General features: G+C 47.3%; 1 protein-coding gene across 1 annotated transcript in view, besides 1 other annotated feature; it reads right to left on the bottom strand.

Annotated features, from left to right (window-relative positions):
• Positions 1-870: 870 nt before the first annotated feature.
• EEPD1 (endonuclease/exonuclease/phosphatase family domain containing 1) overlaps positions 871-16376 on the bottom strand; it is a 148285-nt gene continuing 132779 nt past the window's right edge. Inside the window, exons 6-8 of the mRNA NM_030636.3 lie at positions 14632-14770; positions 5222-5416; positions 871-3402 (exon numbers count right to left, since the gene is read on the bottom strand). Of these exons, the coding sequence (NP_085139.2) occupies positions 3203-3402; positions 5222-5416; positions 14632-14770 (534 nt within the window). The 3' untranslated portion in view covers positions 871-3202. The remainder of the gene's footprint in view (positions 3403-5221; positions 5417-14631; positions 14771-16376) is intronic.
• Positions 10075-10369: a silencer, noted in NCBI's record as "tiled region #9097; K562 Repressive non-DNase unmatched - State 4:PromP". NCBI's record gives its function as "represses a minimal TATA promoter and a strong SV40 promoter by Sharpr-MPRA in K562 cells {active_cell/tissue: K562}" and the evidence as "EXISTENCE:reporter gene assay evidence [ECO:0000049][PMID:27701403]".

The following is a 16376-nucleotide window of genomic DNA, read 5'->3' as shown; positions in this document are numbered from 1 at the left end:
CTTAATCCCTTCTTCCCCTCCCAGCCCCGGTTCAGCAGCAGGGGACTTCCCTTGGCTTCTCCAACAAAGTCCTTCGCAGTTAGGCCCCTTCTCAGACAATCTTGGAAGATGGAGAAGCAAGAAAAGAATGGAGAGGGAGAATGGAAGAGGTGGACTCAGAAATGCCGCATTTGTGGGTGGAGCTGGGGCTGGGGTGAGAGGAAGCTCCGGGGAAGGCACAGAAACAATCCAAGGGAGGCAGGTCAATTCCACACAGCGGAACATGACTCAGCAGGAAAAAGAAAGGAGCTATCAGACCATAGAAAGACACAGAGCAACCTTAAATGCATGTGGCTAGGGGTAGAAGCTCACGTGAACAGGCTGCATACTCTATAATTCCAACCAAACGACACCCTGGAAAAGACAAAACTATGGAGATGGTGAAAAGAGCAGTGACTGTCACGGGTTAGGGGGAGGGAGGCATGGGTGAATAGATGGAGAACAAGGGTATTTTTTTTTAGACAGAGTTTCGCTCTTGTTGCCCAGGCTGGAGTACAATGGCATGATCTCAGCTCACTGCAACCTCTACCTCCCAGGTTCAAGCAATTCTCGTGCTTCAGCCTCCCAAGTAGCTGCGAATACAGGCATGCGCCACCACATCTGGCTAAATTTTGTACTTTTAGTAGAGATGGGGTTTCACCATGTTGGTCAAGCTGGTCTCGAACTCCTGACCTCAAATGATCTGCCCGCCTCCACCTCCCAAAGTGCTGGGATTACGGGCTCGAGCCACCATGCCCCACCACAAGGGCATTTTTACATCAGAGGAACTATTCTGAATGATTCTGTAGCATGGTGATACATGTCATTCTACATTTGTCAAAACCCATAGGATGCACAACACAAAGAGTGAACTTTAATATAAACTATGAACACTGTAGCTAATAATGAATACAAGTTCATCAGTTGTAACAAAGTGCCATGCTAATGCAACATGCTAATTAGAGGGGGAAATATGCAAAGAAGAGGAGGGATATGGGAATCCCTTTGTGCCTAATTTTTCTGTAAACATAAAACTGCTCTTACAAATAAAGCCTATTAATTAAAACAACAAAATACAAAACAACAACTAAAACCAAAAACAGCCAACACCCAATGGGTTGAGCTGGAGTAAGAACAGGCTGCCCAGCACACTTCCTGGGCCACTGAGCCCTGGGCGTGAAAAGCAAAAGGGCCAGTGAGGTTTGGCTGGGACTCAGCTCCCCAGCCTCTGGCTCAAGCCCGATTACGAACACAAAGGTCATCTGATTGGATTTCCTGTCCCCTCAGCTCACTTAAGGAGGCTTTTCTGTCCACAGCTTTGGTTGCAAAAAGCAATCTGGCTAAAGGGATTTGGGACATCCGGCTGGTGAATGTAGGGGAGGTTTCACCTTTAGATGAGGCACCAGAAACGATGTGCTCCCTGGTAGCATCCTGAGCTGCCCCTCTTGACTTTAATGCTAACCCTGCTGCTTTTCCTCAAGGCTCAGACATCCCATTTCGATGCTTCCAGAAGCACAGCCTGAACCCAGGGACAGGAGCTGCCGCCCTCCCACTGGAGAGACCTCAGAATGGACACAATTGATTCCCAAGTACCCTTAGAGCTCCTGGAAGAGGGTTCCCTTCCCGTCCCCAAGACCAGCGATGCTTCTTGGAGCCAGGTGGCCCCAAAAGGATGGCCTTTGGAGAAAAATAGGCCCCCTTCACGGCCCATCAGCTCCAGGTCAGAGAAGCCACTGGGTTTACACTGCGTGGGGACAGGAGGGTTCTTGATACTGGTCCACATTTAGTGTTCGGTGTGGAAAGCGGAATAAGTCCTCAGCTTCCATGGGATACTGGAATAATCTAGGTAATCTAAGCTCATAACTTACCTTTTCACTATTTACTTTCATATTTTTCCATTCATGTTAAGCATAAAGTTGAAATGTGAGCACATAGCAAAACCTGAGTCTGCATCCCTCTATTTACCCAGTGGTGTGACCTTGAGGAGGTCGAGCTCTCTAAGCCTCAGCGTCTTCAGCTGTGAAACGCAAATTGTGGCAGATCTCCCTGGGATGGTGTTGCCTAAGGGAAATCCCTCCTGGCTTGGGCTCGGGGATGCAGATGCCTAGTGGCAGGCACGCATCCTCGCTTCCTCCCCACAACCTCTCTCCAGCCCCACAACCAACTGTCCCTACCTCCAGCCACTAGGAGGGACACTCTCCATGATACCCCGAGGTCAACTTCCTATGTATCCTGACACAGCACACATTCCTGATAGTCAACCACAGGAGGCTCCGGGCTAAAAACTGGAGTGAGTGGGGAGGAGGGAGGAGGTGATACCACCCTGAGAGAATTCTTGTCCTGCAAAGAGAACTAAACAAATAGTGCTCCAGGCAAAAGCCAGGCTGGTGAAGGAGGCAGGGGATGAAGGAGGGGCTGGGAAGGGGAGATGACAGAGAGGCTTCACAGAGGTCCCGGCGAGCTGATGGGGCCTTGAGAGGCGCCTCTGCAAGGCCTCAAGGTGGGGACATAAAAGGCGCAGGGGAAGTGAAGCTGCTCAGGGCTTGACCCTAGCTCCACACAGAGGCACCTGCCGTGGTGCAAATACACACTGCGCGTTGGGGGGCGGGGGAAGGGGGCGGGGGAGGGCTGTGGCGGACTTGTCCCATGCTCTCACTGCAGCGAGGCAGGTTAATCTGTTTATTTTTTCAAAACAAAACTAAAAATCGCCACTCAATGTATCTGAGCAGAGTGCCTGATCACAGTTAAAAGCTTTCTGTAATGCGCAGCAGGAACGTCATAGCCTGGTGGTCAGAAATGAGTGCTTCTGGCGCTGCTGGACTGTGGCCCGCAGCCTGAGCACCCCTTCTTCTCCTCCCTCTGCTCATATTGTCTTTGTGCTGCCATCCAGTCAGCAGCGGACAGCCAGCCCAATGCTGCTCAGGTCTGTGGCATCCAGAGATAAAAGGCGTCTCCGCTCCCCGCAGGTTTCTGCTTTGCCCACCTGGTGGGGTACGCGCCTGGCACGCCACCCCCACTGGAGGTCCTGAATGGTCCACAGAGAAGGCGTGGGGCAAGGCCTCAAGTGCTGATGCTCTGAGAATAAAAATTAAAAGGCAGCTCTGCCCTGAAGCGTCACCCCACAGGGCTCATTCCTTGGCTGTGCCCTCCTGGGTCCCAGGGTGGACACATGGATTTGGTGTCATCATCGCTCGTGCTTGATGTTGGCTTCACTTCGCTCCAAGGCCACCCCGCTGCCGTTCCGAGGGGCATCCTTCTTGCTCCAGTCCTTTTCAGTGTAGAACTCGGCTAGCACTGGGCAGTGTTCAGAAGCCACCCCGCCCCAAGACCAGTTATCCGGAATCCAAGGGTTCGTGAGGCCTTCTCTCACCACAGCCCAGTGACCTGAAGGGAGAGGAAGGAAAGAGACCGGGAATCAGGATGGGGGGTTGGGTGCGGGAGGTCCTGGATTGGCAGGTGGAGGGTCACACCGCATGTCTGCAGGCCGGGGTGCCCGGAGAGGCTGCCTCAGGTAGCTGGAAGGTGCCTGTGCATTTGCCTGTGCATATTAAAGGTCTCGGCCAGTTTGATTTTCCACATAAAGGAGAGTTTCTGCATTTAGGCAGTGAAAACACCCAGAGGCCAGGCCTCCTGTCCATCCAGACACACATGGGCACATGGGCTGACCTGTCCTCATAAACGCGCTGCTGTGAATCTGATCACAAAACAGAGACAGACGCCTCATAAAGACATCCCAAGTCCAAAGCAAAGGTCCAGTTTTGCAAAGCAAAAGACACTAAGGGGGTTAGGGGTGGAAATTCTTTCTACACAAAGGGTAAAAAAGAAAAAATTACAGAAGCTTATGAGAAAGTAATGGTATTTTTAAAACGAGGATTTAGAAATCTATGAAGCAGGAAGTATATTTGAATATAATTAAATAATGAATAGTTACAAAAACAACTACAGAATAGCTAGAAAGCACTGTGTGGTCCTTAGTGCAGGATTGACATGGGCCTAGATTCTGGGTGGAGCTTTGGCACACACTGCTGACCATTCTGTAGCGGGGGCAACTCCTCCCTGAGCTCAGCAACTTCACAGGAAGGGAACCACTGAAAGGATTTCCAACTTCCTTCCAGCCCTGTTGGCTCAGCTTCCCCAGCTCTCTTCCTTCAATAGACACCTTCCTGGGGGCCTGCAAAGGCCGTGGGCTGGCCTCTTTTCCTGGCCCATAGCGCATTTCTGCAAACCGAGGCTAGTTTGACAATTGTCATTCTCCCTGAGACCCACTTTCTTCATCATTTGGGTCCTCCCATGACAGAGTACAACAGGAAACTAGTGCCCCAAGAGAGAGGGGAGAAGCAGGTGACAGTCAAGCCTAGATGTCCTAGTCTTGAAGATCTTGGCCTTGGCTGCCCATTAGTCTCTCTCGCAATAAAAGCCAGGCCCTGCAACTTTTATTTTTAAATTTCTCATTGAAGTATAATAGGCATCCGTGGGGCTTCGCAAAATGTCCAGTCAGAGTTTAGAAATACTGTTCTTGTCTTTCATCAAAAGACCCTACTGTCTCTTCCATATTGTTGACTGTGTCCTGACTCAGCAGGTTACCAGTCTGCAGAGAGGGTGAAATCACCCCCATACCCTGCTCCTTGCAGAGCACTGAGCATTTCTCCTGTCCCATTGTGACACTATATGAGACACCTGTTCACCTCACAGCATGTCCACCTCATAGCATGTCTACACACTGCATCCTACAACACAACACTTGCATGTTTGACAAATGTTTGCTAGAAGACTAAGTGTCCTAAAAGTAACGTTATCAGCTCATCTCTGAATCAGGACTCTGCCAATCTATAACCAGGTTTGCCTGGAACACATCTGCTTGCTGTAGGTCAGTGGGTGTTCTAAAATTATTTGTCACACTCCCTTTCACTTTGAAAAATGAGGATTTAGAAATCTAAGCAGCAGGAGGTATATTTGAATAAAATTAACGAATAGTTACAAAAACAATTAGAGAATGGCTGGAAAGCACTGTGTGGTCCTTAGCGCGGGACTGACAGGGGCCTGGATTCCTGGATTCTGTCTCTGATTAAATGACAGTTATACAGTCACGTAAACCACAATCCTATGTATGCCTCAGAGGAGGTGAGATGACTTCTGTCAGTTCAGACATGTTTCTCTCACTCCATTCCTGAACAGGAGAAAGGACAAGTGAGTTCTGCCTCACCTGTGAAAACCTTCTTTAAGCTTTTACTGATCCAGATGTTGTCCAGAGACTTCGAGCCTTGAGGGTTCTTGGTGCTGATGTTGGTGAAGGTGTGCGCGGGGATCAGGTGGTGGAACTTTTCTTTCCTCAGGATATCATAGTCATTGCTGTCTGGCCCTTGGCCAAAATCCCCTAAGATAATGACATCCTTTTCTCCTGGAAGTGGAAGGAAGAAAATGAGTTTAAGAGTTGTTGGGAAGTAAAACCCAACACTGACCGTGGCCCTTTGAAACGGGATTGAGATTCTCTGACTTGACTCCCATGGGGTTAGTACTGTGGCATGGTTCTCACTCTCCTCACTCTTCCACATTTCATGTGCATATCACCCTGCCACCAATATTAAGAGTAAGTCAGCAACACGTTTGGAAATCAGGGGCAGCGTGACACAAAAATCACCCTTGTTGAAGCCTATGGGTTCCAAATCTTATCACAAAAAAAAAAAAAAAAAAAAAAAGACCTAAGGGTCTTACCCAAATATTTAACAAAAACTCAACATACTACTGGGCACTTACTATGCAGGAAATCCAGAGATGAATAAAATGCAACTCCTGCTCTGAGAGACAGACTAGAAAACAGACAAGAGCACAGAGTAGGTGCAAAAACAAACACACATACTGAAACCAACACAGCACAGGGAAAGGTGGTCAGGGAAGGCTTCCCGGAGGAGACAATGCCTGACTTGGGTCTCAGAGGATGCACAGAAGTGCTTGGGTCAACATGGATGAGAGGGAACCTATGCAAGGCCAGGGAGCTAAGAAACAGCCTGGCTTCCCAGGGGTGGGGTGGGTACCTGAGGTTCAGTTGGCTACTTCTCTAGGACAAGGTATCAAGAAGCCAGATGTTAAAGATGAGGTTGGAGATATAAGCAGCAGCCACTCCTCGATTGGGAACTGTACTCTGTCTGCTTGAGGGTCAAATTCAGATCAAGAGACCAAGGGAAAAGCCTGGGTCTTCCTGGCATTCAATGGGCAGCCCACAGTATCCATCCATCCATCATGTTGATGCACATAATGTACCATTTTCCTGCTGCTGGTCACTTTTAAGGCTGTTCCCAGTAGCCACTGCTATAAATAATGCTGAAGTGAGCATCTCATTTTTTTTTTTTTTTTTTTTTTTTTGTGAGACAGTCTCACTCTGTTGGCCGGGCTGGAGTGCAGTGGCACAATCTCGGCTCACTACAACCTCTGCCTCCTGGGTTCAAGCGATTCTCCTGCCTCAGCCTCCTGAGTAGCTGGGACTACAGGCACCCACCACCACGCCTTGCTAACTTTTGTATTTTTAGTAGAGACAGGGCTTAACCATGTTGGCCAGGCTGATCTCGAACTCCTGACCTCAAGTGATCCGTCCGCCTCTCCCTCCCAAAGTGCTGGGATTATAGGCGTGAGCCACCACACCTGGCAGCTTTCTGTTCTTAGAACTATAGAGAGTCCTCATGAAAAACTATGGCCATTGTTAAGGCTCTGGATAAATACTGCCAGCCTGCTTTCCAAGGCTGCTCTGGTTTCAACCCTCCCCAGCAACCTAAGGAAATTCCTCTCACTGCATCCCTCATCAAAACATTCATTTGATATGTGAAAATGATGTCTTCCATTTGTAGAAAATGAAGTTGTGCTCCCCCTCCTTTAGGCTAGAGTATCTACACATGTTATCTGGAATTCTGCTGCACAAGGGATGGATCTCTTCTTCCCATTTATTAATTTTTTCAACCATTTACTTAGATCAGTACGGACTCATGGATACTTATGAGGTATAAGTCAGGTATACCTTGAGTTATATCCAGTACTATGTCATTGACTTTGTTCCTGAAATATTTCCAGCTTTGGTCACTGAGAGCTCTTTCAGTTGGCTCATGCGTCCTTTTGACATCCACCCAGCAGGTTTTTTTTGTTTGCTTGTTTGAGCACTTCCTTCTGACACGACAAGATGCTCCAAGATCATGCTGTATATACATATTTTTTCTTTTTTTCTTTTTGAGACAGAGTCTTGCTGTGTCACCCAGGCTGGAGTGCAGTGGTGGATCTCGGCTCACTGCAACCTCTGCCTCTCGGGTTCAAGCAATCCTCCTGCCTCAGCCTCCTGAGTAGCTGGGATTACAGGTATGGACCACCACGCCTGGCTAATCTTTGTATTTTTAGTAGAGATGGGGTTTTACCATGTTGGCCAGGCTGGTCTTGAACTCCTGACCTCAAGTGATCCGCTCACTTCGGCTTCCCAAAGTGCTGGGATTATAGGCGTGAGCCACCGTGCCTGACCTACCATACTGTGTATTTTCTCAGTCCTCGCATCAGCCATTTCTCTGAGGAGCCCTGGTTCCTTTCATCAGAGAACGGCATCAGAAACGATGCCTGATAGGTCTATTATTTGTACAGGGTATTAGTGTTTTGTTTATTGATTTATATGAACTCTCCATATAAAAACATATTAACCCTTTATCATATATAGGAACTGATTTTCTTTTTAGTTTGTGATGTGCCTTTTCATTTGTCTATGACCAAACTGAAGCACACAAAAGTTAAAAAAAAATTTTTTTTAAATGTAGTACAATCTGGCAGAATTTTCCTAGAGTGCCTCCAAAATCAAACGAATACCCACTAAGTTCTTCTTATCATTTCATTTCTTACATTTCACTTTTTTCCCCCACTTCCTCCTATGTGATGATACATTTCACTCTTTAGCTTGCCTAGAATTTACTTTTATTTTTTCATGCAAATAATTAACCCCCTCTGCCAGTATCATTTCTAGAAAAATCCTTTTTTTCTCAACTAAATTGTAATACTGGCCTGTTATCTTAAATATCTTTTTGTATAACATTTCTATTTCTGAGCTTTATTCTATCATATTGATCAATATTTGAGTGAGTACTAGATGTTTTAATATTCTTTCATTTAAAATGTTTATATATTCTCATGATATTGAAATTTTCATTCCCAAATTTTATTTTAAACTAAACTCATGTTAACTTTAACATTCTTATCTTTGGTTGGCAGGAGGAGAAGGCTGTTCTCTTGTTCCTTGTGTCCCCTTCTAGACACTCTACACAGAGGAGCAGACGTGTATACTTACATAGTTATTTTCACTCAAATGTTAGCAACTTTACCTATCAATTCCTACTTTTTTTTTTCTTATCAGTACATCCTGGAGATGGATGTGCTTCAAATAAGAAGTTTTGAAACTTTTTTTTTTTTGAGATGGAGTCTCACTCTGTCGCCCAGGCTGGAGTACAGTGGCACGATCTCGGCTCACTACAGCTTCCGCCTCCCGGGTTCAAGCGATTCTCCTGCCTCAGCCTCCCAAGTAGCTGGGATTACAGATGTGTGCCACTGCGCCTGGCTAATTTTTGTATTTTTAGTAGAGATGGGGTTTCACCATGTTGGCCAGGCTAGTCTTGAACTCCTGACCTCAGGTGATCTGTCCGCCTTGGCCTCCCAAAGTGCTGGGGTTACGGGCATGAGCCATGGCGCCCGGCTAAACATTTTTTCTTTTTAAAATGTATGGGGTGGGGGTGTTCCTTTTCTCAAATGAGATCCTGTAGGAAGCCCCAAAAGTAGAGTGGGTAAAAGTGGAGCTTATCTGACTGAAGTTGGAGCCGGGGAGCTCTACAAAAAGCCCTTGGGGCATCAGGAGTTCATAAAAATATTAATGCTTGAGTCCCACTCTCAGAAATTGGAGTTCCACCTGTAGAGATTCTGATTTAGCATCTCCGGTGGCCTGGTCTTCAGCATTTCCTGAAGCTCTCTGGGATTGCATGTCCAGCCAGGTATGGGAACCACAACTAGAATATTAAAGAGCTCTGCTGAGACCTGGTGCAGTCAACTACACGGAAACATGGAAAGGACGGGTACCTCGAACTGTTAACACGTCTCACCCAAGAACACTTTGCCATGTTTCTCCATTGATTGAAGTATTTATTAAAAAAATTCTTCACTGAAGTCTTATTATTTTCTTCACTTTACCACCACATTTCTAAGTATTTTATATTTTTGATTTTTATTATGAATGGGATCTTTGTTTTATCCCATTATATTTTCTCTAATGGTTATTTTTAAATTTTTTTATTTCCACAGGTTACTAATGATATATATCAAAAGGACTAATTTTTTATTTTAACTTTTTAACTAGGCAGTTTTCTTAATTCTCTTACTGGGAATAATTTTTTTTTTAACTTTAGGTGTAACAAACCAACAATCATATTCTCTGAAAACAGTGACACTTTTGTGTCCTATTCTTCCAAGTCCTCTTTTCGACTTATGAATCCAAATTAGCTAGGAGGAAGAGTGGTCACAGAGGGGCTGAAAATGAAACAAAACCTGACACAGGAGAATATCAGAAAACAGTGGCTCTAGGCCAGGCACAGTGGCTCACACCTGTAATCCCAGCACTTTGGGAGGCTGAGGCAGGGGATCCACTGAGGTCAGGAGTTTGAGACCAGCCTGGCCGACATAGTGAAACCCCATCTCTACTAAAGATGCAAAAATCAGCTGGGCATAGTGGTGGGCGCCTGTAATCCCAGTTACTTGGGAGGCTGAGGCAGGAGAATCGCTTGAACCCGGGAGACAGAGGTTGCAGTGAGCCAACATGGCTCCACTGCACTCCAGCCTCGGCTAGAGTGAGACTCTGTCAAAGAAGAAAAGAAAGAAGAGAAAGAGAAAGAGAAAAAGAGAGAGAAAGAGAGAGAGAGAGAAAGACAAGGAGGGAGGGAGGGAGAGACAGAGAGAGAGAAAGAAAAAGAGAGAAAAAGAAAGAAAAGAAAGAAAGAAAAGAAAAGAAAACAAAACAAAAGAAAAGAAAAGAAAAAAGAAAGAAAGAAAACAGTGGTTCTCGGCCCCGGTTCTAAGAGAAAACAGCTGGATGACTCTGAGTGTGGAATTTGAAGTTTGTCACTTCCCAGCTTCGTGACCTTGGGCAAGCCTTTTAGTCTATAAAAGGGAAAGAACAAGCCATTTCCTCCCAGGTTGGTGTCAGGATTAGAGGAGCCGCCAGAAGCGCCTGGCACGGGGCACTCACATGTAGCGTGGGCCCCCTTCCTGATCAGTTTCCTGATACAGCTTCACAGGTTTGTCAGGGAGAGACACACAGTGGAAGTTAAATATGTGTGCATAAGAACTACAAAGTGATTTCAGGGCCAAGGGGGAAAGGTTTTCTCCTAAAGCATTTTAGACATTTCTCCCACAGTCTGATTTACCCTAGAGGAAGTGGGATAGTTATGAAGTATTTTCCAAGCAAAGCGAGTAGAAATCCTGAAAGAACACTCGCCCCCCAGCTGGGCTCTGCGGGATTCCCCTGGGCTCTGCTTGACCCTTGTTGTCCCACAGCAGGAGGTGGCATTTCTGCCACACCTTGTGAAGGAGGCTTTAGGGAAAGCAGTTCATAAACGAAGTCATAAATGTATCCACGACACTTGGCAAATCTTTTTTTCCTGGCCACGGGTGTGCTTCCGTAATAACAACTGCAGGGAAAGGAATCTGAAGGGAAGCCACTCAGGCCACCACCAGAGGGCGCATGTGCATTGCAGATGGCGCCCTCCTCTAGGAGGAGTGAGGACAATGGGTGGGATGGAAGGAAGCCTCTCCTGCAGGGCCACCCACACCATGGAGAAATCAGTGCCAGCTTGAATAATAGTCATGGCACTGTGCTGACCACTTCCTCGATAGCACCGCACTTAACAGCCACGACCCATGGGGCAGGTGCTGTTACCATCTCCCTTCTGCAGGTACGAAACAGGCTCCCAGAGGTGGGAAGGTTTGTCCAAAGTCACCAGGCCAGGCCTCAAATCCAGGGCTCACCACAAAGGGCTAGGATGGAAGACCACACGGAAGTGGCTGCTGTCCACTGCGACACCAAGTGCATCAGCAGGCACTCAATAAATATGTGAGCAACAGACAAGCGGAACCACAAATGTCCCAGAATTAGGGTGCAGTTTGATTTGGAAAGGAACAAAGAGAAAGATGCTACATTCATTGAATATCAAAGAAAACAAAGTTCCCATATAATGAGGGAGGTTTTCGTTGGGATGCAGGCCTGCAAAGGTCTGGGCTGAAAAAGACAATTCTAAAGCCAGGAGAGACGCTGGTGTCAAGGGTCAATAGAGCCAGCTCTGTGTAGCTTCAGGAGTGACAACGGTTCCCTTTTTGAATGAGCACATCGGATTTCTTACAACTCATGTTCTTCCGATTGAATCCGCGTCGGTGATGACATCAAGGCAGTTGTTGCTTCTGAGAATCCACAGGTAGATGCGCAGGAGCCTGAGTTATCTTCCTAAAAAGCCACCCACCTGGGCTGGGCTCCTTTGTCGCTCCCTTGATTCCCAGCAGTGAGGGGAGAACGTTTTGGGCTGACTTCCTCAGAGAGTCTCTAGATTTATAAAACGCCAATGACAACTACAGGAACCAGTCCCCACTGAGGGACCATCTGCCAAGATGTCAAGAGTTACTACACACCCTGTTTCACTCTTGCTCAGTTCACAGAGGGAGACCCTGTCCCCAAGTCCTGGTGAGGTCTGAGGGAAGAAGGTTCCACTAGGGGACTGGCATATCCCCACTGACGTCAGCCTGCATGCACGTTCCAGACAAAGGCAGAAAGGCCCGGAGCTTGCTAACCACATCGGTTCTGTTTGCTCTGATAGAAGCTGTGGAATGAAGGCTTTGTCTTTGCTTTAGCTGAACCCCTCTGCTGACTTGTCTACCCTTGTTAGACCTGGGCAGGCTGAATTGCTTCCTGAACCCCTGGGTCTGGAGTGTCACCAGTTAATAATTAATTGGGTACTAGTTACAAGCAGGGGACACAGGCAGCATGAGTCATTGTCCCTACTTGGATGAGTCAAGGCCAAGCCAGGCTGTGGGTCAATAGTACCTTGGCAATTTGGAACATAACCTGCCCAAGGTTTTCTGCCAAAATCCTGACTACTCCCTGGATACCAGGGGTGGGGTGGGGGGATGGTGACTGCCTAAGGCTGTCAAAGAAGTTATGAGCTGGCATCTTTCCTTTCTGCTTCCACAAAAAGTTTGAGATCAAGAACAATAGTAATGTCCACAGATGTGACAAGCTATCAAGTTGTCCATTTTACAGATCAGAGTCTAACTATAGGTGGACAATTTCCCACACAGTTGCTTCTTGGATAGAGCATCTTCTGACTGTTTTTAGCCTGAGGACTCATCCTTAAAGTAGAACGTTGGTCACGGCATGTCCTGGTTCAAAAGAAAAGCTGCTGCACATCAATCTTCACAGCAGCGTTGTCACAACAGGACAAAGGTGGAAGCTACCCAAGTGTCTATCAGAAGATGAATGGATAAGCAACAAACTATGGTGGATGGATGCACAGTGGGATATTACTTAGCCTCAAAAAGTGAGGAAATTCTGGCCAGGCGCTGTGGCTCACGCCTGTAATCCCAGCACTTTGGGAGGCCGAGGCGGGCAGATCACGAGGTCAGGAGATTGAGACCATCCTGGCTAACACGGTGAAACCCCGTCTCTACTAAAAATACAAAAAATTAGCCAGGCGCGGTGGCGGGCGCCTATAGTCCCAGCTACTCGGGAGGCTGAGGCAGGAGAATGGCGTGAACCCGGGAGGCGGAGCTTGCAGTGAGCCGAGATCGTGCCTCTGCACTCCAGCCTGGGCGACACACACACACAAAAAAGTGAGGAAATTCTGACACATGCTACAACATGGATGAACCTTGAAGACATTATACTAAGTGAAACAAGCCAGACACAAAAGGACAAATATTATCATTCTACTTATTTGGGGCACCTAGAGTAGTCACAATCACAGAGACAGAAGGTAGAATGCTGGTTGCCAAGGGCTGCAGGGAGGGGCGCATGGGGAGATATCGTTGAATGGGTACCGAGCTTCAGTTTGGAAAGATGAAAAGGTTCTGGAGACGGATGGTGGTAATGTTTGTACAACAATGTCAATACATTAGTAGCACTGACTTGAATATGTAAAATGATTAAAATGGTAAATTTTATGTTACATATATTTTACCACAGTAAAAAATCTTTTTTGTTAGAAATGCAAATTCAAATACATATATACATATATACATACATACATCTTTTGAAATGTGAGCCTACAGTTTGACTGAAATATTTTTGTAGTAAAATCTTCATGAATCTCCCAATTTGAGGGGCCAGTTTAACGAGGAAGTCTTAGAAAGCTAGAGAATATTGGTCCAGACTCAAAAGATAGAAGAGAATTCCAAGCCTCCAACTACAAACTCACCTAGACAAGGTCAGTGTTCTGAAAAATCAAGCCAGATGGATAAGATCACAGTCTTCACAGCCTTGTCAACCTTTTCTTTTGGTAAACCAAGTGCAGAAAACCATCTATATTAGTTGGGGCATAGCCCCCCTTTGTCCTGGAGTTCAGCTCCTTTTTTTTTTTTTTTTAAGAGATGGGGTCTTGCTGTGTTGCCCAGACTGGAGTACAGTGGTGCGATCAAAGCTCACTGCAGCCTCGACTTCCTGGGCTCAAGTGATTCTCCCTCCTCAACCTCCTGAATATCTGGGACTACTGGTGTGTACCACCATGCCCGGCTAATTTTTTTCGTTCTTTGTAGAGACAGGGTCTCACTATGTTGCCCAAGCTGCTCTTGAACTCCTGGGCTCAAGTGATCCTCCCGCCTTGGCCTCCCAAAGTGCTGAGATTACAGGCATGAGCTACCGTGCCTAGCTAGAATTCTGCTCTTTTCAGTGTTCTCTTAATTCTTCTCATGTTTTAGAGTCAACTCGTGTACATGAAGTCCCTACTATGTGCTTGGTATTGCTGCAGACACTGTTACTTAGCCCTCTGGGTACTGCTATGAGATGAGTACTGTCCCCCATCAGATGGGGGCCTGAAGTGGTTTGGTGGCTTGCCTGAGGTCCTACAAGATTAAAATCCAGCATTTCTGACAGGTTCAGGGCTTCTTCAACATGCTCTGTATCCCGCCAGAGAGAAAAACTCAATTCACCAATCATCAGCAATTTACCACTTCCCCTTGTCACCCCCGTCTCTCTTTCACAGGAAGAGCACATGCAAATCTGCAGGCGGCACCACCGGAGTGATGCCCGAGGCAGCTGGTCCCAGGATGAGCTGTCTTCGGGGAAGGGCATCATCACTTATATTCTTCCCCCCTAATCCTTTCTATCTAAATGAGGCTAAAAAGCCACAGAGCTGACAGCTTGGAACGCATATGCTAGGTCCACAGAGGCACAGATGTGGCCGTGCAGGGTCAGCTGGGCTCCATGAGATGCCAGAGGTTTGACTGTCCCCTGTACCCGCGACTCACATTGCTGACAAACAGCCAGCCCAAGTGGTCAGAGATGGCTCAGAAGAGGCAGCCCTGCTGCTCTGCAAAACAGTGGCCGAGTCACAGCAAAAGACAATGTCCTACCTTTCAGGGTTTCCTGTAGGGTCTGTGCAAAGCTCGCCAACCGGTGGCCATCACTGTGATTCTTGCTGGGATTCTCGCTCCCCAGGAGGGTCAGGGCTGCCAGGTGAAGGTTAACAAGGGTCAGGTCGTGACTTCCCACCTAGGCAGCAGGAAACAAAGCAACAGGGAGAGGCTCAGAAGCTCATATTTCCTGTATCCGTTACAACCGACTCATAAATAGCTTTGTGCACAGAGTTGACAATGGTAAACAAGAACAAGGCTGGCTCACACCCCCAGGAAATAATGTAAGGTCTTTCATCTTCGATTTTTCCAAGGCACCTGCAGGAACAAGGCCTATTTTGTTCTACCAGTCCACCCCTAACATCCCACCGCCTACTCCTCACTTAGAGCCTAAAAGATTGGGCATATCTGCATATCTGTAAATGTTTGAGTTTTTTTCTTTCTTTCTAAGCAGTCCTATATAAGAAGGAGGTGGAAGGCCAGGCATGGTGGCTTATGCCTGTAACTCCAGCACTTTTTTTTTTTTTTTTTTTTTTTTTTTGAGAAGGAGTCTCACTCTGTCACCCAGGCTGGGGTGGAGTGGCATGATCTCAGCTCACTGTAACCTCTGCCTCCCGGGTTCAAGTGATTCTCCTGCCTCAGCCTCCCAAGTAGCTGGGATTATAGGTGTGTGCCACCATGCCCAGCTAATTTTTTTATTTTTAGTAGAGACTTCACCATGTTGTCCAGGCTGGTCTCAAGCTCCTGACCTCAAGTGATCCTCCTGCCCTCAAGTGATCCTCCTGCCTCAGCCTCCCAAAGTTCTGGGATTATAGGCATGAGCTACGTACCCGGCCACAACCCCAAGCACTTTGGAAGGCTGAGGTGGGAGGATCACTTGAGGCAATTTGAGACCAGCTTGGCCAACATAGTGAGACCCCATTTCAATCAATCAATCAAAGGAGGTGACTCTGACAGCTGGTTGTTATTATAGACTTGGGGCTTTTCTCCAGAGGGCCAGCCTGAGGTCTCCTGCCAGGACCCACCGCTGGGATGTGCCTCCTCCTCCTCCCTACACCTCCCACACACGCTCCTCTGTGTTCTTTTCTCTCTGGAGCCCACTATAGCCAGATGCTGACTTTAACCTAATTTCAAACGTGTCCAAACCAAAAGCTTACAGAACCTGGCCAGCCTAGGACATGCCCTAGCCCTGCATCCCCAAGGGCAAGTGCAGAAACACAGGGTCAGAGTTTGTCTCTGGGCATCACAGCACTGCTCAGCTGCTCAGGGCTTAGCAATCTTGCCCTTCCATTTGTCATGGCAACCAACATCAACACTGCCAGGAAGGGAAGGGGTATAGGGGAAGCCCCCAGGAAGTGGAGGGTGCCCGTCTTATCTTACGGATGTGGTCCCAGTTTGCCAGCAACCAGGACCAAGAGCTCTGCAGCTGCAGCTCTGCCTGCTAGAGAAAGCATCTTAAGGCTGGGTGGGGGGCACAGTGCCTGAGGAGATGAGCCCCATCTCTGTACTGCACCAACTGCCAGGCCTATAATGTGACATGAAGTACAAGAGGCCAAGTGCCTGTTTAGGGGGCTGCTTTATTTAGAGGATTTGGGCTAACCAGCATTTTCTCATTATACCCTTAAAAACAGCCTGCGTTGTGGTAATACTGGATTATCAGTATCACCCATAGGGTTACATGGCCATAACCCCAGGTGGCCAACACTGGAACAGGAACTTGACATAAAAAAAGGGCCCAGGGTGGT

This window comes from Homo sapiens, chromosome 7 (genome assembly GCF_000001405.40).
Source record: "Homo sapiens chromosome 7, GRCh38.p14 Primary Assembly".
NCBI classification, from domain to species: Eukaryota; Metazoa; Chordata; class Mammalia; order Primates; family Hominidae; genus Homo; species Homo sapiens.
Note: the sequence above shows the minus strand (reverse complement) of the source record. Positions and strands in the feature narration are given on the sequence as shown.